The sequence below is a fragment of the Homo sapiens genome, chromosome 5, assembly GCF_000001405.40.
Source record: "Homo sapiens chromosome 5, GRCh38.p14 Primary Assembly".
Lineage (NCBI taxonomy): Eukaryota > Metazoa > Chordata > Mammalia > Primates > Hominidae > Homo > Homo sapiens.
In genome coordinates, this window is record NC_000005.10 from 142,997,510 (window position 1) to 143,024,029 (window position 26,520).

The following is a 26,520-nucleotide window of genomic DNA, read 5'->3' on the forward strand; positions in this document are numbered from 1 at the left end:
GTGATCCTCCTGCCTCAGCCTCCCAGGTAGCTGGGACTACAGGTGCATGCCACCCATGCCTGGCTGATTTTTTTTTTTTTTTTTTTTTAGTAGAGACAAGGTCTCACCATGTTGCCCAGGCTGGTCTCAAACTCCTGATCCCAAGCAGTCCTCCTGCCTTGCCTCCTGAAGTGCTGGGATTAGAGGTGGGAGATACTGCACCTAGCCCAATAAATGCCCTTTTCACACTCCATTTAGTGCTACTTTTTTTTTTTTTCATTTTGTGGTTTCTTTTGGTGATTTTGCTAAAGTGGTCCCCAGATGTAATGCTGATATCGTGTCTAAGTGAAAGAAGTTTATGATGTGCCTTGTGGCATAATATGAAAATACTTGTGAGATGAACTTTGTTCAAGCATAAATTATAATGCAGATGGATATGAGCTCAGTGAAAACAATTCAGCAGCAGAAATTGAATAAGGTGATGTCTTTGGACAGAAATACACATAAAATAGGATTATATATTGATTGGTTGATGAAAATGGAACCAGAAGCTTGCAGGAACCTAACTGTGTTTCTCCTAGAAGCAATGGTTTAGTGTTTGCTAACTCAGTGTTTGTTGCTGTGTTATAAAATGTAACTCCTGCAAATAACAAAAATTGACTCTATATGTATGTGTGTATATATGCACTTATATAGATTTCATATTTATATTTATGATTGTATTTGTATATTTATATATTCCTTTTATGTTAAGATTAGTACAGGGCAGAGGAACCTGTGGAGAGCTGTGGAGCAGGGCTGAGTAGTAGGGCCAAGGAGAGGTGGACATTTAAAGGACACAGGTGGTCAGCTATATCAAGCACGATAGGAAAGGACCCAGAAGCAGCCTTTGGATTTGTGCGTTCATCTGTCATGCTCTCAAGACAGACATGCCCTAATCTCTCCCATCCTCCACTCTGGGGAGGGGACCCTACTGGGCTTAGTCCACTTGGTTGCCTTGGCTGCTGGCTGTGTTTGTAAATGTATGTTGGTTGCTCAGGTCCGGTGTGCTTTTGTTCTCTCTAAAGAAGAAGCAAGAGAGGCTTGGCTAGGCACTGTGAGCTTTTGATGTGAACATACTAACAACCTGTTTCATCCAGGTCAACTTTAAACCACATTGTTCAGTGAGCATTGTTCAGTGAGCTGTGATCGAGCCACTGCCCTACAGCCTGGGTGACAGAGCAAGACCCTGTTTCCCCACCCCCTAAAAAAAGAACAAAAAAAAAGAAAAAGGAAAAGAACATTTGTTTACAGTATGAGAACTGAAACAAGAAGGCAGAATATGGCCTGTGCAACACGAGACGGTGAGCTAGTCTGATCAGCAGCTTTCCAACCTGCTGTCCCTTTCCTTTCCAGTTCCTACTCCCTCCAACATTTGCAGGACCTTATTCCTAGTCAACTGTCAGCAGATCCCAATTTTGCTGTTTGCTGGTAAGATTTGAGATGTTACCATCCTAATGTATATATGAAATTATTAAAGTGCATAGAGAGCCCTTCAGGACCTAAAGGGGTTCATTCATGATGGTGAAATATTAAAAATTATAGGGACTAAGAGTATGGCATTTCAAAGCTGGTTTGTTTCAGGCCCCCCTTTTGATGCCTTAGGAAATTAAGATACAGAGAGACGAAGAGGTTTGATCCGGGTCCCACAGTAAGGCAGTGACTGATTAGGGCCACTATACTTGTTAGCTCCCAGGGCTCCCTGCCCATTCAAATCATAGCTTATAGATGGCCATGTAGTTAGGTGAGTCCCCTGAAAATTAGCCTCGAGCATATAGATCTTTACAATGCTCAGCACACTTACCTGCTTGTCCTTTTAGCTGAGGGGGTAGGAGGCAGATCTCAGTTTTATTAATATAGTGAGGGTTCCCAAAGGATATATGAATCAATTTTATAATATGAGAACTGTTTTGGGGGAAGGAGAAAGAGGAGAGTGAGGCGGGTTAAGGCTACTTTTTCCTAAATTTGTATTTAAAACCAGTGAGTTTCAAATCTAGGTTATGACTCAGAAGCACCTCTAAATAATGTTTATAAACTAGGCTAACTAGGGGGATTAATTCAAGGTGAATTTTTCTTTCTGGCTGCTGTGGGGGTTAAAAAAATATCAAGGTAGGTTATAAACATAAAATCTAAAACTATAAAGCCTTCAGAAGAAAACATAGGACAAAATCTATGCGATCTGGGATTGGCAAAAGTTATGTAATAGGACATAGAAAGTGATAGCCCTACAAAAACATGAAAAAAAATTGACTTGATTTAAATTAAAAGCTAGTGCTTATCAAAAGACACCATTAAGAAATCAACTGGCAAGCTGTAGAATAAGAGGACATATTCGCAAACCATATATCTGACAAAGGACATATCCAGAATGTATAGAGAACCCATAAAACTCAGTAATAAAAAGAAGAACCTAACTAAAAGACAGAAAAAAGACTTGAAGAAACGCCGGACAAAAGATGGCCCAATACATACATGAAAAAGTATACATCATGGATCATCAGAAAAATGCAGTTTGAGACTATAATAAGATACTGCTACGCATACCCATTAGAACAGCTAAAAGTAGAAGATTGACAACACAATGAAAAGATTGGCAAGTGCTGGTGAGGATGTGAAGCAACCCAAACTCTCATACATTATTGGTGGGGGTGTAAGTAAAATGGCACAACTACTGTCGACAAAGGCTTGGAAGTTTTCTGTTTAATAACAAAAAACTCTACTGTAGAATCCAGCAGTTCCACTCCTAGGTATTTACCTAAGAGAAGTGAAAACACATGTCTTCAAAAAGATTTGTACAAAAACCTTTGGACCAGCTTTATGATAGCTACAGACAGGGAACCACCTAGGTGTCCATCAACAGAGGAATTGATAAAACTATGGTATATTCAAACATTAAATTTCAACTCAGAAGTAAAAAGGACTAAAGGTATTGGTTCACACCACAACATGGATGAATATTAAAAATTTTATGCTGAGTGCAATCCCATTACTGGGTATATACCAAAAGGATTATAAATCATATAAATCATTCTATAAAGACACATGTACACGTATGTTTATTGCAGCACTATTTACAATAGCAAAGACTTGGAACCAATTCAAATGCTCATCAATGATAGGCTGGATAAAGAAAATGGGGCACATATACACCATGGAATACTATGCAGCCATAAAAAAGAATGAGGTCATGTCCTTTGCAGGGACATGGATAAAGCTGGAAGCCATCATTCTCAGCAGACTAACATAGGAACAAAAAACCAAATACTACATGTTCTCACTCATAAGTGGGAGTTGAACAGTGAGAACACATGGACACAGGGAGGGGAACATCACACACCAGGGCCTGTTGGGGGATGGGAGGCAAGGGGAGGGAGAGCATTAGGACAAATACCTAATGCATGCAGGGCTTAAAATCTAGATGATGGGTGGATAGGTGCAGCAAACTAACATGGCACATGTATACCTATGTAACAAACCTGCATGTTCTGCACATGTATCCCAGAACTTAAAAAAAAAAATTTATGCTGAGTGAAACAGAGTAGCTATAAAAGAATATATATGATGTAAGTCTGTTTGTATAGTGATCTAGAATAAGCAAAACTAATTGGGGGTGCAAAACAGAACAGTGGTTGCCAGTGCATGGGGTGTGTGAGGGGTGGGAGTAAGATGGAAGGAGGTCTGAGGGAACTATCTGAGCTGATGTTTCTATCTTGATAGAGGTTTAGCTTACATGGGTATATGAAATTGTCACAATTCATGATTGGCATGCTTAAGAATTATGTATTTTATTGTATGTACATTTTACATTTAAAAATGGACAAATATTGAACTTTAGATGATATGTGTTCTGAAATGTTTAAAAGTGCTGATATCTGCAACTCCTCTTAAAATTTATTAAAAAGCAAGATGGACTGATGGATGATAGAAAGATGGCTAGATATGTGATAAGGCAAATATAGCAAAATATGAACAACTGTAGAATGGAGGTGATGGGTATATGCATGTTTACTGTCTCTTCTTTCATCTTTTCTGTATGTTTGAGAATTTTTATAAGGGTATGTGGATTGGGAGTAAATGTGCTGTTCTGGCTGGCCTAAGTCACACTATTCCTGGAGTCGGAAGTGGAGTGGATTCTGCCTGTGATGGAGGTGGGGGACCCACACAGAGTGCAGAATTCTAGAATCTACAGTTCCATTTTAGAAACCTCATTCTGCTCCTTGGGAGTTGTGGGAGAATACTGAGATTCTCCATGTGATCACAGTGCTGGGGATACCCTTTACTGCCAGCTCAAAGCAACAGAATAAAAGAGTGAATATTCTCAGAATCTCTTGTTGCATGCATACGAGTTGGCATCAAGATTATTTTTGGATTTGGGGTAGGAAACTCAGCTTCGAGTCATAGATCTAGAAATGCAGTCCTCTGAACTGACAGCTGTTTGTGGCAAGGGAAGAAGTCACCTTTCCCTGTGTCTGTGTTGGATAACATAACATTCACCTTCTGCCTCTCCAAGGGGCATTGTGGGGATGAAGGCGATCATGAACGTGCTTTGAGTTTGTCTGACTGCATCAGCCTCGAGTTGCAATGAAGACAGCTATGCATGCCACTGCCCGGAACCTCCTGGAAGAAGGGACTGGAGGTTGAAAGGAGCTGCATAGTGCTGTGACTCACTCTCTGCCCGTTGTTTCTCCTGGGCTGGGACCCACTTGGGCAGCAGAAGAGCCTTATGAGCTCCTACTTTGGTGTGCTGCATACCATCCCGAGGAATTTCTCATATGCAGTTTTCTAAAGCACAAAAGAGCAAGGTTCTCTCTTCTGCTAACAGAGCTGTATAACTATTTCCAAAAACACTGGGTTGGGGGTTGGGGGTTGGGGGTTGGGGAGGGGAGCACATAAAGACATTCTCTGTTTAGTATTTCAGTTTCTTTTGGGAGGATGGGAGGTGGTCTCTCCTCTCACCATGAAAACGGCATGCTGACAGATGAGTGGGTTCACATCCACTTTTTAATGTTGCATCAGCCTGAAGCCAGGAAGTGCTAGAGCCGTAAGACTCCTCACACTGTGACCTGGCCACATCCTACATACATGTCAGCTTGCACGCCATCTACTTAACTGTCATGCACTTGATAGCAAATGAGCTTTTGCCCTTTCTGCTGCCTTTAAAAATTTCCTGAAACACTTTTCTGACTTGTACATTACTTAGATTTCTTTCTTCCTCTTTTGCATCCAGTTTTTGTTTATGTTGGCTGTGACTCCAATCTTCGGTTGAAAGCTAGGGAAGTTGCTTATAAAGGTTTTCAGGATTGCTGAATATGAAATGCAAGGAAATTGCATAACATTGCAGCATTTCCTCCTCTTGTTGCTTGCTTGTTACCCAAAATACAGTAGTTCCTTCTAGAAGCTTGAAGAAATTTGGCAGATCCTACCCTCTGATGGTCTATTGTGGTCTAGAGAGTCAGTGTTATCCTGATTTGAGGTTGAATTTTTCTTAAGGTCAAACAACAAAGCTTCCTGAATTATAACTATGGCAACAGTGTTTATGTAACACACAAATCAAAGTCACGGGGTAGCGGAGGAGAAGCACCCACAACAATCAGTGTTAATAATCCCAGAACAGTTAGCCTGTGCCTAATTCACCAGAACCAAAAACAAGTTAAAATAAATGGCCTACTCCTTCACTGGTTATTGGGGTGTGACCTACCACCTACATGCTCCAGGAGGAGCTGTTTCACCTTTTCTCTTGAAACTATATCAGCTTAATTTGAAATTTCTCACAGAGAACTGCGGTAAGTGCCAGTGACACTCAAAATGTGAAAGCATTGCCATAAGGATAATTTGCTCATCAAGGTCATCATGACCTGCCTCTGACCTGCAGAGAAAGACCCAGACGAAGGAATGCGCATCCTTAAGCCCCTTGTCCTTTAATGAGGAATAATTTCTTGGACACTGAATATATGCAAACATTTAGATGCCGCATAGATCACTTCCCCTAAACCCTGCCCCATAGAAATGTAAAATTAACCTTGATTGGAGATTGGAAATGATAAGAATGAAAAATTTTATTTGGAAGTATTAAATTCTGTAGAATATAGACTGTAGGAGCAGTAAGAGATCAAAGAAACGAGAGATTAAGGTTGTCTGCAGCCATCAAGTAAGTTAGGAAATATTTGTGGAGTAAGGAAAAGGGAAATAACGTTTTTGAGCACCTCCAGTCCCTGTGATAACTATTTTAAATTCTGTTAATACTCTCATAAGTATTATTACTTAGCTCTACTTTGCAATGAGAAAGCAGACTCGGAAATGTTGAATGATTATCTAAGGGCGCATAGTTCAAAAGTGGTAGAACCAGGTGACAAAATAAAAACTTCATCCAGATTAAATTTAAAGGAGTTTAATTGAGCTATGAACAATTTGCGAATTGGGCAGCCCCCAGAATCACCACACATTCAGAGAGACTCCAGGGATGCCTCGTGGTCAGAACAAATTTATAGACAAAAAAAAAAAAAAAAAAAAAGGAAAGTGACGTACGGAAATCAGAAGTAAGGTACAAAAACAACTGGATTGGTTACAGCTTGGTGTTTGCCTTATTTGAACATAGTTTGAACACTCATCAGTGTATAAGTGGTTGAGGTATGGCTGCTGGGATTGGCCAAGACTCAGCTGTTGTTATAGGTAAATTTTCCTAAGTTAGGTTTTCAACCTTGTCTACCTATTAAGTTAGGTTACAGTTAGTCCACAAGGACTCAGATATAGGAGCATGGAGTCCTTCTCAGGCCATATTTAGTTTGCTTTAACACAGACCTTAATGCCAAGTTTCCAAAGCCACAGCATGCTCCATCCACCACTTGACTCAACTTCATCCAAATCCATTTCTCCCTGTTTTGGAATCTGTCCAGGGCCTATACCAGTGAAAGGGTTAGGCTGACAATGATTAAACCCCAAATGCAGCGAAATTAATCAGCCCAGGAATGCCCGGGATGCCTTCTAGACAGAAGGGGGCTTAGGTCTGTGTGTAAGAGGATGCTGGGTCAGCCTCCTGCTTTAGTGGACCATGAAGAGCTCCTGTCAGTCATTTATGTTCGGCTGAAATCTGCCTTCCTGGGGACTCCACCCTGACCTTCATCTCTGTTCAGCACAATAAGATTTCCCCTTTGTCACATCACTGCCCTTTGAGAATCTGAAGACTGGTATTGTGATGTTTTGAAGCCTTCTCTTCTCCAACCAACACTGTGGTTTAGGGAAACACATCTTGCAGAGCAAGTGAGCAGAGCCAGAGGGTGGAGCCAACAAGAACCAGGATATAGCCAATGTCAAGGTCTAGGTGAGAAGGCAAAAACAATCTGACCTTGGGCAATAGAAGAAGAAGTGGGGATGAGGAATAGGTTCAAGACATATGAAAGTAATAGAAGTGATACAACTAGGAACTGATTGGATATGTGAGGTAGAAGGAATGGGAAATTCAAGGATGACAGCACAGTTTCTCGTTCAACTTTGTTGCACATTTTTCTCCTTCACTCTAGAGTTCCCTATAAAGCACAAGTAGGCTTTTCTGTCATGCACTTAAAAAAAAAATTACCACAACCCTTGTCTGTGAGCAACAGAAACACAACTAAAAAATAAAAAGTATGTTATTGATATACTATAGAAAGAGCAGGGATGAGCTTCTGATATGTTAAGATAAAAGGGCTCAAATGATACCATCAGAATCCCATGTCCCTTCATTCATGGCCCTGCATTTCTTTGTTTGACCTTTTCTGCTCAAGGCTTTGCCTGTGTGGTAGCCGAAGTTGGCCTCAAAAGCTTCAGGTATGCATCCTGTTTTCCTAGCAACACAAGGCCTCATTTCCCATAGTTGTAATAAAAAATGAGTGAGTGTCATCGGCTGAGTTTGGCTTGGGCCAATCATATGTGCAGTAGGATGCATAGTCTGGATCACATGCAACAAACCTGAAGATGGAGTTGGGATCAGCCCCACCCAAACCATATGAACTTGCCTTGGCAGGGAGGTGGCTCCCCAAGGAAAATGAGGGTGGTATCCCTGGAAAAAGAGGTGCATGGATGTTGAACAGTAGTATTCACGGGTGTCCAGAGCACTTTTTTCCCCCAATGTTACTGAGGAATAATACTAAGAGATAAGTTGCTTATATCCACAAGGTACAAAGCAACAGGCAATGCTTGAACTAATGGAAAAGAAAGTTTATTTTTCTATTCATCATCATTGTTGTAATCATGTTTTGAACAGCAAGCAGCAGTTTTTATTCACCAGCAAGAACGCTTCCGGGGCTGTTAAAAGACTCTGTCTTTTGGATGGCTGTAGGAGCACAGCCATTTGGTCACTTTTTATTGGGCCATTTTCTAAGAGACTGCCTAGTCTTGAGATGCCTCTGATTGTGTAGGGGAAGGGACTCGGCACCAACAGGTACAGAACCCCTTTCTTAGCCCTTATTTCAGAACTCCCCAGTGGTACCATAGGCTTCAAAACTATTAGAAGCATTCGTTGTCACCTGGTGGATGTAGAGCTAACACACAGGGGTGGAACATAGAAAATAAATGGCTATGTGAGGGATTTTGATAGCCTTGAGTTAAGCCAAATAAGATAAATCTGTATCCTGTTTTCTCTTAGGAAGGCCTGAATTGTCTGTTTCCACTCCCTTGTAAGAAAGATTCATAGAGAATTTGCCAGGTGTTGGGGAGAACAAAGCGGTCACCTGGACACCTGAGCACACATCTAGCTTTCCTTTTCTGTCTGGCCAATGCATTGTCCTCACCAACTCCACCTTTAGTGTTTTTTCTTTTTTTTTTTTTTTTTTTTTTAATTGCAGTTTCTCTCTTATGCTCTCTATTTATCCAATCAGTACTTTCTGAGTGGCTGGCTATGTGCTAGTTACTGAACCCCCTTTATGTATAATTCTACAGGGTAAGAGCAAGGTCTTGACATTGGTTCAGGAATCGGTCTTTGGGAAGTGCCATCAACTATATTTTTATTGGTTTCACATTTGAGGGAGCCTCCCTAAGACAGCAAGTACAACAGTGGTAGCAGTGGAAAGGGAAAGCCTGGCAGAGTATTGTCAGCTGAGAAACAGAAAAGTAGCAACAGCCATCTTATTTTTGCTCCACTGAGCACATTTCACCACTCAGACCATGGTGATGAGAGTCACATTTCTGATGGGAGGAGGAGGAAGAACCAATAGCTGGCTCCCTGGCTCTGACCCCTTGAGTTGAGACACATCCTTATTTACTCCAGGCTATTCATGCTTCAGATTCAAACAATTCCTTCCCAAAAGCTTTTCCAAGTGTGGCCTGTGGCCCATGGGTGAAAAGAGAAGTCCTGATCTAGAAAAATCATGTCCATTCATGGGTGGCATTCCACAGACTAAGGGTGTCTTACAGTAACTTCTCAGGGGTGTTATTAAAAGTTCCTAAGCCTGGGCACAGTGGCTCATGCCTGTAATCCTAGCACTTTGGGAGGCCGAGGCGGGTGGATTGCCTGAGCTCAGGAGTTCGGTGAAACCCCATCTCTACTAAAATACAAAAAATTAGCCAGGTGTGGCCTGTAGTCCCAGCTGCTCAGGAGACAGGTGAATCGCTTGAACCCAGGAGGCAGAAGTTGCAGTGAGCCGAGATCGCACCACTGCACTCCAGCCTGGTTGACAGCAAGACTCTGTCTCCGAAAAAAAAAAAAAAAAAAAAAAGTTCCTAAATTTAGCCTGTATTAGTGTTTGCCGAGCATTCTAATGTGTTCAACTGAGAAATCTGCCACAGAGTCTTTGGCAACCCTGGCCAGTTCTCTCTGTATGTGCTGATAGGTTTTAGGAGGGTTGTTTTTTGGGCATCCTAAAATGTCTCAAGCTGGTTGTGGTTTTTAATTACTGCCACACTTGTATTAATTGGAAGTTTGTAGAATTCCTGTTATGCTTAAATTGGGTGGAAATTTTGTTATTACATAATGGTTGCATTGTTGCCATTTTAATTACTGCTTAGCCTCTTTTGAGTTCTTTGTTAATTGGCAGGCTGTTTTTCCTCTGGAAAGCAGGACTGGGTGGAGAAGTTGTATGAAGTTGTGGCTGAGTACAGACTCTACTGTGCTCTGCCTAAATCGAATCCTGGCTCTGTAATTTGCTAGTATGTAACCTTTGGAAAGTTAATTAACCCATATGATGCTATGAAATAGAGGCAGGTGTAGTACCCCATAGGCTTGAGGATGAAATAAAATCATTCGTTTAAACGCTTAGTATGGTGTTTGGCACATAATTGATAGTGAAAAAGTGGTTGGTGGCAGGTGGCTATTTTTATGTTTGATTGCTGTTTTAAAAAAGATTAAGAACCATTGATTTAAACGTTGACCTTAGATTGTCTCCTTTCCTTTCCCTTCATCTCTTAATTAGTTTCAGTTGGTTATATTACATTGCCAACAAGACCAATGCCACAGGGTCCCTCAAATGACATTTCCCATCCTTAGCCATTTATCCCATAGGGGATACATTTCCATCACCAGAAGAGGCTTTTTGTTTTGTTTTTTTAAACACAAAGTGGGAAGAGAAGGAAGGAGGAAAATGACAGTGATGAAGATGAAAGTTAATCCTTATAGAATGTTCAATAGGCCATAGAATTTACATTCAGTGCTGTGTTGAATATTGTATATCTATGATTCCATTTAATTATTACAACAATCCTAAGTGGTGGAGAGTGTTACTATCCCCCTTTTTCAGATGGCAAGACTGAGGTCTAGGGATGATAACTGATGTGCATGTTAGCCAATAAACAGTAAAGTTGGACTTTGAACCTAAGCAGTAGATTACTACAAATCTGTCGCCACTGACAGACACAATTCAAAAGAGCAAGCTGTTTTGATTCTAGTGATGGTGGACCCACTTTGTCATGCAGAGGAGATGAGATGATATTCGATGGTGTAGAACCAGCCTGTTGTTTTAAGATGTTGACACATTGCCTTATTCAGTGTGTCTCCACATTGGTACATCAGGGGAACAGCCAGGTGGGAGGAGACTTGGAGAAAACCTCAGGGGATCATAGAGTTTGGATGTGCATTTGGGTAAAGATGGTGCAGTTTAGAGAGGAGCATCAGTTTTAAACAAATTTCCTTATGAACCTATTTCCCCAGCATCTTTATTTTGTCCAGATTTTGATCCAAAGTGTGGTATGGCTAAGCTCTAATGCAGCTGTGTGTGAAAGGGAAAAGTTAGATTGTTTTGTCAAATTTTTGCTTTACTTATGTCTTTAATATCTACATTTGAAAAACAAGCCTCTCTGTTTTCTCAGTATGGCTTGGATAATGGTAATAAAGGTACTCATAGAAAAATTCTGGGAATCCAGATGACTCTGTGTATTCTCTGTTAATTCTGTAGGGACATGTAAACTGAACTGGCTCAGCAGTGAACAGAATTTATTGCAAAATCACATCTTGGTGCAGAGGAAGCATATGAAGGCTTTCCTCGCCCTCCTTTGATTTATTAAATTGTACTTTCATTGCAGCTTCTGGGTAAGGACTCAGAATTGCAGTGCCCTGTGATTTGTATCAAAGAGCTACTCTCCCCCCCTGGTGTTTATCGTCAGGATCGAACCCTGTGGTTCAGAGAGAATATGAAGTGTTACTTCTATACTAGATGCCAGCTGGTTGCATGGGTTGGTGGTAAATACTCCAGGCTAGAATCAGAAGGCTGTTCCCAGTTTCATTTTCTTTCTGACTCAGGGCAAGTTCTTCCTTCCGGTGATTCACCTGCCCAGCTGCCCACAACATCTCACCTTTATCATCGTCAGCATCATCATCGTCGTCATTGTCATCATCGTCATCACAATGACTTATTGATCATGTGGTTAGTGGTTAAGTGCTTGGGCTCTGGAGACAGACCGTGGGAGTTCCTGTCTGGACTCTGCCCATTTCCAGCTGTCTGACCTTGGCCATGTGACCTAACTTCTCTAATGCCTCAGTTTTCTCATCTCTGTGAAAGGAATAATTAGGCTGGTATGAGAACCGAATAAGACAATGCACACAGAATGCTTGGCATGATGTCTGGCACATGGCAGGGGTTTTGTCATCATCATCATTATTAATTTCTATCTGTCATAATTATTCTTTAATGATTCTTAGATGGACCGTGATAAGATAAAGTAAACACATGTAATTTCTCTTCTTCAGAAGCATATACTTGAAAATAGATACTTGTTGGCACGGATCTTTAACAAATCTTCATATACAATGGTCAGTAGAAACTAGACTATACCTACATCAAAGTATAGAAACCCAAAGGAGATAATGTTCCCAAGTTTTAGAGTACTCAGATAGAGCTTAGCTTCAGTTGGGTTGTTGAAGGTGCATTAACTGTTTCAGTCTTCTGAGGAGCCACAGATCAGGCATTTAGTGCCCCTTGTCCGCTTGGGTTGCTCCTGGAGAGTTGAGTTCTATTGTATTAAGGTAGATGCTCTCAAGAGGCTTACCTGAAAGCATATAAATTTGAGATTGCTAATCATAAGACAAAGCTATGGTCAAAGTGATCTTTCAGGACATTGCTCTTGCCTCTGAACCTCAGTCTGATGCTAGTGGGCAACTGTGAGATCTGTAGAAGAAGGATAGCCCAGAGCAGACTGACCATTTCTAAAGGGTGAATTGCATGCTCTTTGCTTCTGTCAGTATAGAAGGTATTTATGAACCATAATACCAACCACTGGAGTGACTTGGTAGTGATATACATTTGCCACTGCCTAGAAAGGTAAAAGGGTATTGGAACATCCTTTTAGAGGCAAGATAGAATAGTACACCACTGACCAGCTCTGTGTCCTTAGACAAACTGTGTAACCACTCTGGGTCTCAGGTTCCATATCTCTAAAATGTGAATAATACTAGACCTCATCCATATGGTGGTTGCAAGGATTAGATGTTGCCATGTGTGGTGCTTGGTAAGTGCTAGGTAAACAAAACCATTCCTGCTTAGTGCTGTGACTGAGCCACCATCTGGTTGCTTCCCCACCCTGGGCCTTCTTTGTTGGGCCCTGTAGTCACAAAGTCCTGGTAAGCAGGATTTGTTAGCTTCATTTCAAAACTCATTCTCTTTGGCTCATTAACCCAAACCAGACAGAGATTAACAGCCTGGCCTCAGAGGAGCAGGTGAGTACATGTTTCTGGTGCCTTTGACTCATTGATTATCCTTCTCCAATTCAGGGAATGCTTGGGTGTTCCAGGAAGGGGTCTCCCGAGACCCAGGAAACCTTGAAAGAGAGTAATTTGGCACAAATTCATCTCCTAATGAAGGAGGGCTGGAAGTCCTGCATTTTACTATTCCTTCTGGATTTTGCCAGCTATAAATAGAAGCAAGGTTCCCTTGGATAGAATGTTTGAATTTACTAGGAGAAATGCAGGGATCAAGGATGGCTGAAGAAAAATACTTGCCAAAGTGTGGTCTTCTCTTCTGCACTTCCCTTGCCCAACTTTCCAAGGTTAGTGAATGCCGGTCAGCATGGATTGCTGGTCTTAGCTATTACACTGTGACCCATTTCACTCACAGGTCACAAGGCTCTGCAGGATCGGATTGCTGCCCCTCTGCCCTATCCTTATCTCCTACCCCTCTCTGCATTGCACTGATTGCTAATCACACTGGCCTTCTTCCTTCAAATGCAATGACTTTTCACCTTCCAAGGACCTGTACTTTCTGTTGGCACTAGCCCCCACGTCTTCCCAAGGAGGTACCCCTCATCATTCAGGCCTGGCGCAAACGTCATCTCTTCCGAGAGGCATTTCCTCGCCTAAAGTCCACAATAAACCCCCGCTTTTTTTTTTTTTTTTTTTTTACTTTCTCCAATGTACTTATCAATATTTGAAGTAATCATAAATGTGCATCTGTTTATTTCTGTTTTCTTCAGTAATTGGAAAGTTTTATGAGAGCAGAGATTACAGATGTCTAGTTCATCTGTATCCCCAGCACCTGGAACGTTGCCTGACCATTATAAGCACACAGTAAATATTTGTTAAATACATGGATAAGTAAACGAATTGCAAGCAACATGGGAAATTATTATTTAGGAGGTCTTCAAACTTTTCAAAGCCGCTATGCCCTTCCTCAATAGCCACATGAGTAAAATGGATAAAAGCCAAGGGAGGGGTCATTTGGTCTTAGCTTCTCTCCAACCCCTTTGTTTGTGCAGGTGCTGTGTGGCTCAATTTGGAAACCATGATCTAGCTCAAGTTCATTTATATAGATGATAAAGATGCTGCTGAGGGAGAGTGGGCCACTGTGTTTCCTCTTTTAAGTAGAAATTACACAACCTCTATGTCAGCCTCCACCTAGACTTCGTGGTGACTTTTGCCCTCCCCTCAAATTCCATGAATGTTAAGCATTTCTTTTCTCAGTAGTAGAGTCCAAAGCGCTTGCATTGTGTTGTGCTGTTTCAGTATATTTCTTTGGCACAGTCTCATTTGATGTTCACATCAGCTCTGGCTGAGTTAGTCAGAAAAACCTATCATCGCCCACATTTTATAGATGAAGAAATTAAAGTTCAGCAAGATGAAGTTACCAATGGGGAAGCCCAGGCCAGGATCAAAATCTTTTGACTCCTTATCTCTAGAGCGTTTAGGTATATGCATTGATGCCTTTTCATTCATTAGACAATCCTCTTTAAGTACAGAAACCTGTTCTCTTTATACTCATCTTTCTGACCTTTAATAAGTGGCCTGGTAGCTTTAGTTTTCTTTAGAAAATTAATAATAAAATGGGATGATTTGTTATATTTAGAGCTTGATAATTCAAAGACCTTCTTGGGCGACTCCTTCAGTTTATGGATGAGGCAATAGATGCCCAGAGAGGCTAAGAGACCCAGTGACACAAAGCAGCTGAAGGGCCAAGTGGGACCTCTTGACCAGCCATTCTCCGTCATATTTCTTAAGTGAAAAATCCCTTTCTGGATTTAATGGTTCTTTTCAGAGGTAGTTGCCTTGGTTTCTTTAGGGGTTAAATAAGTGGTTCTCAACTGAGAGTAGCCATTAGAGTCACTGGAGGGATATATTTATATACATACATACATATATATATATATATATATATATTATGATCAGGTTCACCTTATGCCTTTCTATACCTACAGAACCTTAATGACCAAAGAAGGGCTTGGGTTCTATGATTTTTTTTCATTTATTTATTTAAGACGGAGTCTTGCTCTGTTGCCCAGGCTGAAGTGCAGTGGCGTGATCTCGGCTCACTGCAAGCTCGACCTCCTGGGTTCATGCCATTCTCCTGCCTCAGCCTCCCAAGTAGCTGGGACTACAGGCGCCCGCCACCATGCCTGGCTAATTTTTTGTGTTTTTTAGTAGAGACGGAGTTTCACCATGTTAGCCAGGATGGTCTCGATCTCCTGACCTCATGATCCACCCGCCTGGGCCTCCCAAAGTGCTGGGATTCCAGGCATGAGCCACTGTGCCTGGCCGATTTTTTTCTTTTCTAAAGTAGAGGTTTCATCTTGTTTAATTATGACAGCATATCAGAGATGGGCAAACTGTGATCCAAAGACTGAATCCAGCCCACCACCTTCTTTTGTAGAGCCCATAAGCCAAGCATCATATTTACAAACAAATATCTATAATTGACTTTATAAGGAATACTAACTTTGAGTACCAATTAAGCTAAATATCAACCTCTCTTAAAAAAAACTTATTCTTCTGATTAGTAGGCTTGCATTTCAGAAAATCATACTCAAATATTATTAGTTTTTAAATTTTGTCAAAAAATGTATGAAAATTTACTTTCTATCTTGTTGTAGAAGTACCTACATAATGTCATTGATTTTGCCTCTTGGCCCACAAAGCATAAAATGTTAATGTCTGACCCGTTGCAGGAAAAACTTGCTGACCCTTGCAATATGTCATTGTCTCTTTTATATTGGGCATTTTCTTTTTCTTTATTGGGGTACTTTCCCTTTTTGTGATTTACATTATTTAAGGGGTTTCTATGGAAAATATATATTCTCCTTATAACATTCAAATTTCTAGAAGTATGTAGAGTAAAAAGTAACAGTTCCCACTCCCCGGTATTAACAGTCAACAGTTTTTGATGTAAAGGTCCTGACTTTGCCACTAACTAGCTGTGAGACATTAGTTAACCCCTCTAGGCTTCATATTCTCCATCTGTGAAACAGTGATAATAACAGCTCCTGCCCAACAGAATTGTCATGTTGATGATTTCAGATCATTCATGTGAAATGCTTAGCACATTGCCTGGTGCGCAGTTCATGCTTAATGATTTGTAACTAATTTTAATTTTTTTCTCTTTTCTATTTATGTACGCATATACATTTACTTGCTTTCTTAAAAAGAGGGAATTTTTTTTTACACAATAAAGTTGCACAGATGATTCTGATGCACACACACTTAAGAACAGCTAAAGTAAATACTGAGAAGTAGATAATTATTGAATGGGTTCATGTTTGGGAGCCAGAAATTACCTTCCACTTCATGGTGCAAACTAGGGAAAGTGAGGAAGATAATGGTTTTCTACAGTGAACCTATAGGGTGGCATAAAATGCACATAAGTGAATTTTTATTTTTATTTTCCAGGTCTACAACTCGAACAAAGACAGCCAGAGTGAAGGGAGTAAGTACGATGCTTGGGTAACCTTCTACAGCCAGGGTTGGGAGTAGGCTTTGAGAAGTTGCTACTCCAGGTGTGAACCACCAGGCGGTGCTGTGGGCGTGTTGGGTTGGCTCCAGTTCCCGAGTGCAGTGGGACATGCCTCCACCCCAACTTTCCGCCAGTGACTCCAGAGGGACGGTAAGTGAGCCTGGCTGGCAAGGCTGTAGTGTAGTGACACCTTGCATTGAAATAATGGGTCACACTTTACAAAGCATTCTCGTGTACATTATCTCCTTTAATCGTAGGTCTTAAGACTATAGCTCGTCACCACTTAAAAGTTACTTAATACAACAATACTCAACTCCTGGAGAGCCTTATCCTGTGGGAAAGCCAAAGTTGCTGTTGCCTCCAGCACGGTCTCGCTCAAAGGACTGGAGAGGCAATAACTATGTTAGGTGATTTCTTAGTAACTGTTTTCTTTGTGGTCTCTTGTGGGAGGAAAGAATGGAGATGAATTCTATGGTAATATTCCTCTCTAATGGAAGTGTCCCTGGGCAGCCTCTGTAGACTGTAGTGCATTTGCCCTGCTGCTGCCTGTAAGCACTCTGGTTAATCATGATTTCCAAGGGTACCTGTAACCTTGTAAAGGCAATGGGATTAAAATGAACCTGCAACTGGTAGAATGTTTGGGCTGATTATCTCCTTGGTGTATAGGAGAAAAAACAAAATCCTTCCAGGTTGCTGCAAGAGTACAAAGGAAATCCTGTCACCTTGCTTTGTAAAATCCACTTGAGAAAAAATTTAAAGGTTGCCCTACTGTGAATTCCAGTTGTGTTAGGAAAATCAGTAGAACAGTGCCTCTCCATGTGGACCAAAGGATGAAGTTGTTTTTTTGTGAAAGCCATTACAGGACAGAGATTTTTCCCCCCCTTTCTTTCTCTTCAAAATATAATTTTTTACCCAGGAGTTTTGTATGAAATATTAAATAATTTGGAATGCCTGCTGTGGGTAGGTTGAGAGGCCTTTATGAGATGAAAAAAAAATGTTCCCCTCCACCTCCAAAAAAAATAAAATGAGCAAGGGAAAAATTTCAAGTAAATATGCAAGGAAACAAAGAAGTAATTCCACCCTACCCCACCCTTAATTAGGTAAGATTGTTTTAGAACACTTGAAGTCAACTCTGACTAACTGAGGCAAAAACAACAGTAACAATAATGAAGGAATATGTAAGGCTGTATGGTAGCTCATAGTAAGGTCAGAGGAGCTGAAAAGCTAGGCTTGAGAATAGATGAGTTCTGGAGACCTAGGAACCCGGTGAGAAAGGGTCTTCTGGATAATACGACAAAGCTCTAAACTGTTTGTAGTCCTTGCCTCACCTTTCTGAACATTGAGATTTCCAGGCAACAAGTTGGTCTAATTTGGGTCCACCCAGGGAAAAACTGTACATTTTGATTGAGAGTTTCAAGACTGCTGCAAAAAATGGGAACAGAGTAGTTTCCCAGAGGGAAATCAGGGAAGCCATCAGGACCAGAGGGGATGGATGCCAAGCAGGCTACACTAACAGATACTCACACCTGGCCCTGCCTGGGACACATTGCCTCCATAATAAAGGACCCAAGAGTGGTGGGGTGGGGGAGGAGAGGCACGTGAATGGAGACCTCCCCCTACACCAGCCAGAAGTTTACTTTTAACTTGTGACCTTATGAACCTACATCTCTCTACTTGGGATAAATCCCAATAGATTTGAAGGACAACCATGGTTCTAGTGGTGGGCATCCCAACTGGTTCTGACATTTCTTAAGGCATTTCGAGGATATGCTTTGGAATCCTTAAAAAAGTGACCACCCTCTAACTCCCCAATGGCTTATCCTAAAGAAATCATTAGAGTGCAAAGATAGTTTGTACAACAAATAAATTTGTTGGGGCGTTGGTGATAATAGCAAAGAATGAGAGACAATCTAAATACCAAATAGGGAGTTGGCTAAATAAATTAAGGAGTAATACACAGCCTTTAGAAAGAACCAGAGAGGGCTGGATCTATTTGCAGAAATTGTGCTGATAGTTTGTTAATGATTGAAATTTTAAAAAAATTAGGCTATAGAACAACATACATAATAACATGCATTACTTGACCTCCCTCAAGAAAAGAATAAGACAAACAGTTTTATTTTGGAAAATATAAGCAGTTGTGACATTTTGCTTTTTGCACCTCATTATTCACAGAGCAAAGAGAGTTGCTTGCCTTGGGTGTCTAATGATTCTTCAGTCATTACCCTTTCATCTAGCACACAGGAGGTAAAAAGATGGGTTAAAAAAATTGGTCACTTTTGCCAGCACGGTGGCTCACGCCTGTAATCCCAGCACTTTGGGAGGCCGAGGCGGGCGGATCACAAGGTCAGGAGTTAGAGACCAGCCTGGCCAACATGGTGAAACCCTGTCTCTGCTAAAAATACAAAAATTAGCCAGGCATGGTGGCACACGCCTGTAATGCCAGCTACTCAGGAAGCTGAGGCAGGAGAATCGCTTGAACCTGAGAGGCAGAGGTTGCAGTGAGCCAAGATCGTGCTATTGCACTCCATCCTGGGCAATAGACTGAGACTCTGTCTCAAAAAAAAAAAAAAAAAAATTGGCCACTTTTTCAGGAGTCATTTAAATAGGAATTGTTTTTTTAGGGTATTGATTGATTTCTAAGCTGGCAAACCAGTGTGATGGTCTGGTTTAGTGCTTCCTCACCCTTTTTTGAGTTTGGACCCTTTCCCACATGGTACAGGTTCTTAGCTTCCCCTCCTTGGTGGGGTTGTTTTACTGTATCTCTTGATTGCAGTAATTTACAATTTAATGCAAACCCCCCATAAGGCTCATCTACCACAGGTGGCGCTAATGCTCTGGGTCTTGATTGTTCTGCAACACTCCTTCTGTTTATGACACAATCTAAACTCTTTTAAAGATATGAAGCCAATCTGATATGAATTTAAGAGTGAGACACTGCTCTTCTTAACCAGATTCCAAATGTCTAGAGTCCAAATTCCAAATGTCCGGCATTTTCTTTTCTAGGAAATGTTTTGGTGGGAATTTCAATGCAAACATTTTATCAGAGAGCCAGAATGTTCTGAAGGAGCAGTTAACAAAAGGGAATTTCTGAATTCGTTTGCTTTCATCTCGAAGTTTCTCTCAGGGCATACGGTGCCTGTGGAGTATAAGACAGGGCCATAAGTAATGTCTGTCAGCTGCTGGTATTTTCCAAATGACCCAGTTGCCAGGGAGAGGATGGCAGCTGATAAATATATGTACATTTCTTTGCAGAGCCTTTTCTTCTCCTCTTCTCTATGCTCTGTTTGGATCTCAGGTTTAGAGAGATGAATTCATCACACTCCCCTGTTCATGGCACATTATCAGCACAGGTTTCTTGATTCATTCATTCTTTCGTTTCATTTTATTTATTCATCCATTCCCTTTTAGTTCTTTTTTCTAAAATGTGTGTCTTTTATCTTCCTGTGTTCTTGATAAATGGTGTGTGTTAATAAATGGTTCTGGGTCTTGTTTTATTTCTTACTTTGTGCCCTCATCATTGTGTCAGGAGCCATTCGTATTCCTCTGTGTCCTTTTATGCTGTGGCTTCTGATTACTGCATAATTTGTGGTACACAGCACTTTGTATCTGTTTTTGTAGAGATGTACTCCATCTTCTCATGCCTCCAACTCCTCATCAGTACTCACACCACCACAATGGACATCTTTGTACATATCTTCCTGTGTGAGAATTCCTCTGGGATACACCCACCCAAAGCATTGCTGGACAAAGGCTATGCATATACTTAGTTTAAGCACTCTCTTGTATTGTTCTCCAGAGTGGTCGATCCGCAGTCCCACCAACCCTACATGCAAATTTCTCCATTCCTGCCAACTCTCACCAGTATTCAGCTCTCTAATTTTTTGCCAGTCTGATAGGTGTAAAATGATAGTTCATTGTTGTTTTAATTTGCATTTCTCTGGTAATTAATGAATTTGAGCATCTATTCATAGGCCTGTTAGTTTACTGGGTTTCCTCTTCTGTTAATTGCCTATTCATGTCCTTTGCCCATTTTTCTATTTCAGTTACCATCTTTTCTTTTTGATATGTAAAAAGTTCCTACTGATTCTAGATACTAATCCCTTGTTAGATTTAGCCAGTTTAAATATGTTCTCATCTTGTCATCTGTCTGTTAATACGTGGTATCCTTCTTTGACTATAAATCCTTCAAAGCCCTTTTATATATTCAAATCATCTCTTTTTTGCTTTCTTGTTTATGATTTTCAAGTTGTGTTTTGGAGAAGGCCTTTATGACCCATGTCACAAAGATGTGTACCTATGTTTTCTTTTATTGGCTTTATGAGTGTGTCTTGCACATTTAAGTTTCTAATCTAGCTGATTTCCACCACTGTATGAGATGTTCCATGAAGATCCATTCTTATTTTTATCCTTGGGAAGAGTTAGTTTTCCTATCAACATCTACTAAGCTATCCATTCTTCCCTCGATTGATTTGTAGTGCCAGTGTTCTTGCATTTTAGGTTTGCATATTTTAGTTCTGTCTCTGAGCCCTTTATTCAGGTTTTTTGTGTAGCTGTTTTTGTCCCAATACCTCTCTGTTTTTAATAATAACTTTGAGGCAACTCTTAATATCTAGTTATATAAGTCTCCTCTATTTATTCTCCCTTTTGAGGTTTGACTTGGGTATTTATGAGTCTTTATCCTTCTGTATAAATTCTATAATAAGTTTAAGAAGTTTCCCCTAAAATAAAATTTTTCTTTGCGAGTGCATTGAATCATACAGGTTATTTGGAGAAAGTTGACACCTTTGTAATATTAAGTCATGTCTTCCAAGGGTTTTGAATGTCTTTCCATTTATTCAGACCACCAGTGTTTTTTATTAGGATTTTATTTTTCTGCCTAGAGATCGTGTGTGCTCCTGGTCAAGTTAATCCCTAAATACTAAATTTAAAAACCAATATTTTATTTTGCCAGCCCTGCTACCCATGGGGACCCTTCCTGGATTTGCTTCTAGAATGTCAGGAATCTATATCAGTGACACCAGATTCTCTAATTTGTCAAACTCTTACCTAGTAGAGAAGGGAAGGGGAAAAAGGGAGTATTGGTAATAAAGAAGAAGAAAGTATGATATTGTTTCTTCTTAAGCTTTTTTTTTTGAGGAAGTGGTCACTGCCAGTGTCAGTCACCTAGTTATCTGATACTTGTCATTGATTCGTCCCTTTCATTATTACAAAGAACAAGACTTCCCTGGGCAAGAACCATTTCTCCCATCTCACCCGCTGCAGCCCCGTTTGCTGTATCTCTCGATGTCTTTTTGTCTTTTTGCTGTTCCCTACCTTTGGGTACAAGGTAGGGAATATCTTTAGGGAGTTATAAAATTTACTCCCCAAAGACTATGAGAATTGGTTCATTTTTCTTTGTAATGAGTCCAGGTTGGAAGCAGGATGAGAGGCCTGTTCTCAGCTCAGGCTGCTATTGTCCTGCCGTCCCACCTGAGGGAAGGTTAGAAAGCCGAGAACTTGTCAGAGAGAACACACCAGTCCAGTGCAAGGGAGTAAGAGAAGGGCAGGCTCTTACAGTGTGAGTTGGTCTTTTCCAAGTTTGATGTTTTAAATAACAAATGTCACTGCCTACTTAACTCTAAAAAGATTAGCTTGTTTACAAGAATGCTGCCCTCCCACTGTTTCTCCAGCTGCTTGAAGGCTGAAGTCTGACAGATTGAGGCAGAGAGGGCTCAGTCTCCTAATCTTGACTTTATAGTGCCACTTTCCTCAATGTGGGTATTAACTCAGATTCCATAGGTTAATCGGGTTATGTTGAAAGGAATATGCTGAAGTTGCTGCAGGCATGCCTTCTCATGCATGTCAGGACCTGGCTTAACACTGGCCATCTGGCTTTTCAGAATGCCATTTTGTAGTTCACTCCACTTCTCACTCTTGTTCAACATTTTCCTGTTACTCCCACCTGGATCTTGTGCCGGATGAAACTGCAGGAGTCCAGGCTTCCTGTAGCTCTTCCTTCAGTGAATGCCTCTAGAAGTTCTTGGACTCCTGGCCTCACGTGATCCTTCCATCTTGGCCTCCCAAAGTGCTGGGATTATAGGCATGAGCCACCACGCCCAGCCTTCTGGGAGTTCTTAAGGGCAGGTGGCACTGAGATATATGAGTACCGAGAGGTAAGGACACTCATAACTAGAACACACATCTGTCTCTACCTTTAAAGCTCATGTGATCTGCTGTGGAGGTTCAGACCACAGGGGAACAATAGACAGATGGCCCAATTACATCGTGTGGGTGTATGTCATATTCAAACCATCTACAGAAGTACCCAGGGTGCAGACTACATGCCCAGAGCTCATGGATTTGAGAGTGAGCTACACTTGAAAAATGGAAATTTCCTCCCTTCTCTCCTCCCCAGAAGAAGAAAAAATATAACACTTCCTCCTCTTTGCATCCAAGTCCTAGTCCTTTCTTTCCTTGTGGTTTGTTTTTAATCTAGTGCTCTAGTGCTTTTTTTTTTTTTTTTTTTTTTTTGAGATGGAGTCTTGCTCTGTTGCCCAGGCTGGAGTGCAGTGGCATGATCTCCGCTCACTGCAAGCTCCCCCTCCCGGGTTCACGCCATTCTCCTGCCTCAGCCTCCCAAGTAGCTGGGACTACAGGCACCCGCCCTCACGCCCGGCTAATTTTTTTGTAGTTTTTAGTAGAGACAGGGTTTCACCGTGTTAGCCAGGATGGTCTCGATCTGCTGACCTCATGATCCGCCCATCTCGGCCTCCCAAAGTGCTGGGATTACAGGCGTGAGCCACTGCACCTGGCCTAATCTAGTGCTTTTATAAGAATCCTTTATATTTGAATAAAAATGCTGAAGAACCCACTGCAGTTTGCCAATTTGTCATTCACACTGGGAGGTGGGGAGAAGAGCAGTGATTGAAGAAGGAAATATGAACTCATTGTAGAATATTACAGAAATACAGCAAAATGATTTTGAAACATTCAGTCAAAAATCATTGGTAATATTATTCCCAGAGATACTTCCTTCTTGCCTTTTTTAAATGATGTCTTGTATGTATTTTGTCAATGTCAGTATGAATTTTAATTTAACTGGCATTATGTTGAATATGCTTGTTGTATTCTGCTTTAAAAATTACAGACATTTTCTGATGTCATGAAATGTTTAGAAGTATCACCTGTCATGGTTGTTTAATATTCTGTCATTGGACTATATCTTAATTTGTTGAATCATTTATCATTGTTAGACTAATGCTCTTTCCAGGTTTTTGGTATTACAAATAACATTGGCCTATGTTATTCATAATAGCTTCAAAAGTTATTAATTTCATCAGTTATTGGCCTTGTACATCAGCCTTTGTACGTATCTCAGATCATTCTCTTTGGGTAGATTCCGCCACGTGGATTAGAGAGAGGGTTTGCATGGAGGAGTAATGTGTGGCTGGTGTAGAATAGCATCCTGGGTGTAGAACTTTGGACAGGTGGTGCGCCTCTCTAAGCTTCCATTTCCTCTTCTGTAAAATGGGGATAATAATACCCCTGCTTCATAAACTCATTGTAAGAATGAAAGTTCAGCACATTAGTATCTGCACATTAGTTGGTAAGTGCCTAATTACTCTTGGTTATTACTCTTATCATCTGGCCAGGCCAGTTACTCCCACAACAAAAGGAAAAACCCACTGGAAAGGAAAAGCCAGCTGGATTGGTAACACTGCTCTTGAAGGGAGGAAGACAACCTGCTACTGTTTCTCAGTCTTGGTGCTTTATGAGTGTTCATTCATTTAATCCTCGTTACTGTATTTCTCAAAGTGGGGTGTGCACACCACTGGTGGTACACTAGGTCATTTGAGAGAGTATATTTTAAATTACCATCTAGACTTCTGTATTTATTTTGATGTGTATTGTGGGGGAACATAAGTTCTCTGAAATCCCCTGATTTTATTTTGTTTTATTTCATTTATTTTTTTGAGACCCCTGTCACCCAGGCTGGAGTGCAGTGGTGTGATCACGGCTCACTGCAACCTCCGCCTCCTGGGCTCAGGTGATTCTCCTGCCTCAACCTCCCTAGTAGCTGGGATTACAGGTGCCTGCTACCACACCTGGCTAATTTTTTTTATTTTTAGTAGAGATGGGGTTTCACCATGTTGGCCAGGCTGGTCTCGGACTCCTGACCTCAGGTGATCCGCCTGCCTCGGCCTCCCAAAGTGTTGGGATTACAGGCATGAGCCACTGCGCCTGGCCAATCCCCTGATTTTACAAATGTTATTGCTTAGCACAGGGGTCCACTTTTTTTAGTAAAGGGCCAGATAGTAAATATTTTTATTTTTATAGGAGTATTCAACTCCGCTATGGTAGTGTGAAAGCAGTCACAGACAATATGGAAATGAGCAGGTGTGGGTGTTTTCCAGTAAAACTTTGTTTTACAAAACAGGCAATGGTGAATTTGGCCCAGGGACTGTAGTTTATTAACCCTTGGCTTAACACAAGGCTAAGTTTTTAAAATTAGTCTAAATGGGATGGCATGAGGTTTTGAGAGGGAGCATGAAAGTGTCACACGATGGGCTGCCATTTGTACAAATGCTGTTCACAGCAACTGAGTTTCCAAAGGAGCTCACAGGCTTAAAGAGGTCAAGGGAGCACAGTTGAGAAGTAGTGAAGCTCATACTCAAACCCTAGCCTGCCTCATTGCCAGGGTCATTTTTTTCCTGCAACACTTCATATGCTTGAAATCTTTGATCCATTCTGCCATCCTGTTCATATGTGGTCCACCCATGGGGGCTGGAAGGAATTTCATCATCAGACTCCAACATCTAACCCCTCTAGTTCTTTGTGGCTGAGGGGCCATCCCATATTCCTTCTTAGTGCACCACCTCATTAGAGCCCTCAGTGGTTCCTCAAACACCTGTGCACAGTGCTGGGTGCACAAGGGTCACGCATTTCACTGACTGGCTTCCCCAGGGTCAGACCCTTAGTGTGGCCCACCACTCTCCCACAGGGATTTGGCAACACAACATAATGCTTTATATGTTGTTTCTGTACATCCACTCATCCTTCTTTAGGCCGTCATTCAGAGCAAACTCCCTGATGGCGTTTTATTCAGGTTTGCCTTGTTTTATGAGGACAAGATTGAGGACCAGGAGAGGAGATGGGGAGGGACATCATTACCATTGCTCTGTTTCCTATTGTTGTGCCTCTGACTGTACATTTCCTTCATCTCTGTTCCTCAGCCTCCCTTGATCTGTAAAACAGAAAAGGAGATTTAGGCTTGAAAACTGTAGGGAAAGCCTTGATGGGATCGCCTGGGCCACTATTTTTAAAAGACATCTAAAGCCTTCAGCCATTACCAAAAATCCACCGTCTCATGAAAGCAGCAGAGGGCAGAAAAGAGGATTTGTTTTTCTTTTGCTTCTAGTCACCTTTGGCCTTTTGCTGTTAGAACACCCACAGTTGAGAGGCAGGAGGAGGCAGCCACCGGTAACCAGGATCCTTTTGGGATCAGAACCATCCAGAGGCTGCCAGGCCTCTGCTGGTCGGTGGCTTATAAATAGAACATTTCCCCTTTTAAACCTGAGAAGGGTGGAAGGCATTAATGGGCACAGTGGCCTGGCCGCCTATGCACTGGCCCACGAGGCAGTCAGCTGAGTGCAGCATCCCCTCCAGCTTTCTCTCCAGGCCTGCCAGGTCTGAGCTGATAGAGGACAGACACTCTGCCTCCCTCCCTTGCCTGCGTTCCTTCCTGCCCTCCTCCCCACACCCTTTTTCTTTCCCCTTTCTCCTCTCTCCTGTGCATGCAGTTTCCGTGGCCACCACTTTCATCTTCTGAGCCGCAGTCAGGCGAGGTGGTATAATTCTAGCTCTCCCTAGGTGCTGACTTTCTACACCTCACTTTTCATTATGA

The 26,520-nt window shown here is 41.5% G+C and overlaps 1 protein-coding gene across 40 annotated transcripts in view, besides 5 other annotated features; it reads left to right on the top strand.

Moving 5' to 3' along the window:
- ARHGAP26 (Rho GTPase activating protein 26) overlaps positions 1-26,520 on the top strand; it is a 458,635-nt gene that overhangs the window by 227,133 nt on the left and 204,982 nt on the right. For 39 of the 40 annotated variants that reach the window (NR_146198.2, XR_007058592.1, XR_007058593.1 and 36 more), the window contains one exon: positions 16,571-16,607. Coding sequence is in view for 37 of the 40 variants with exons in the window: in NM_015071.6 (NP_055886.1) it covers positions 16,571-16,607 (37 nt within the window). In the remaining 3 variants the exon portion in view is untranslated. Of the gene's footprint in view, positions 1-5,610; positions 11,996-12,169; positions 12,233-13,102; positions 13,136-16,570; positions 16,608-26,520 lie in introns of those variants that run through there. The other variant, XM_047416992.1, reaches the window with a different exon arrangement.
- Positions 4,869-4,938: an enhancer, noted in NCBI's record as "active region_23321". NCBI's record gives its function as "activates an Ori minimal core promoter by ATAC-STARR-seq in GM12878 lymphoblastoid cells {active_cell/tissue: GM12878}" and the evidence as "EXISTENCE:reporter gene assay evidence [ECO:0000049][PMID:35858748]".
- Positions 11,246-12,445: an enhancer, noted in NCBI's record as "P300/CBP strongly-dependent group 1 enhancer chr5:142388320-142389519 (GRCh37/hg19 assembly coordinates)". NCBI's record gives its function as "activates an origin of replication core promoter dependent on BRD2, BRD4, P300/CBP, MED14 and CDK7 cofactors, with strong dependence on P300/CBP, by STARR-seq in HCT116 cells {active_cell/tissue: HCT116}" and the evidence as "EXISTENCE:reporter gene assay evidence [ECO:0000049][PMID:35650434]".
- Positions 22,037-22,086: an enhancer, noted in NCBI's record as "active region_23322". NCBI's record gives its function as "activates an Ori minimal core promoter by ATAC-STARR-seq in GM12878 lymphoblastoid cells {active_cell/tissue: GM12878}" and the evidence as "EXISTENCE:reporter gene assay evidence [ECO:0000049][PMID:35858748]".
- Positions 22,507-22,716: an enhancer, noted in NCBI's record as "active region_23323". NCBI's record gives its function as "activates an Ori minimal core promoter by ATAC-STARR-seq in GM12878 lymphoblastoid cells {active_cell/tissue: GM12878}" and the evidence as "EXISTENCE:reporter gene assay evidence [ECO:0000049][PMID:35858748]".
- Positions 24,397-24,486: an enhancer, noted in NCBI's record as "active region_23324". NCBI's record gives its function as "activates an Ori minimal core promoter by ATAC-STARR-seq in GM12878 lymphoblastoid cells {active_cell/tissue: GM12878}" and the evidence as "EXISTENCE:reporter gene assay evidence [ECO:0000049][PMID:35858748]".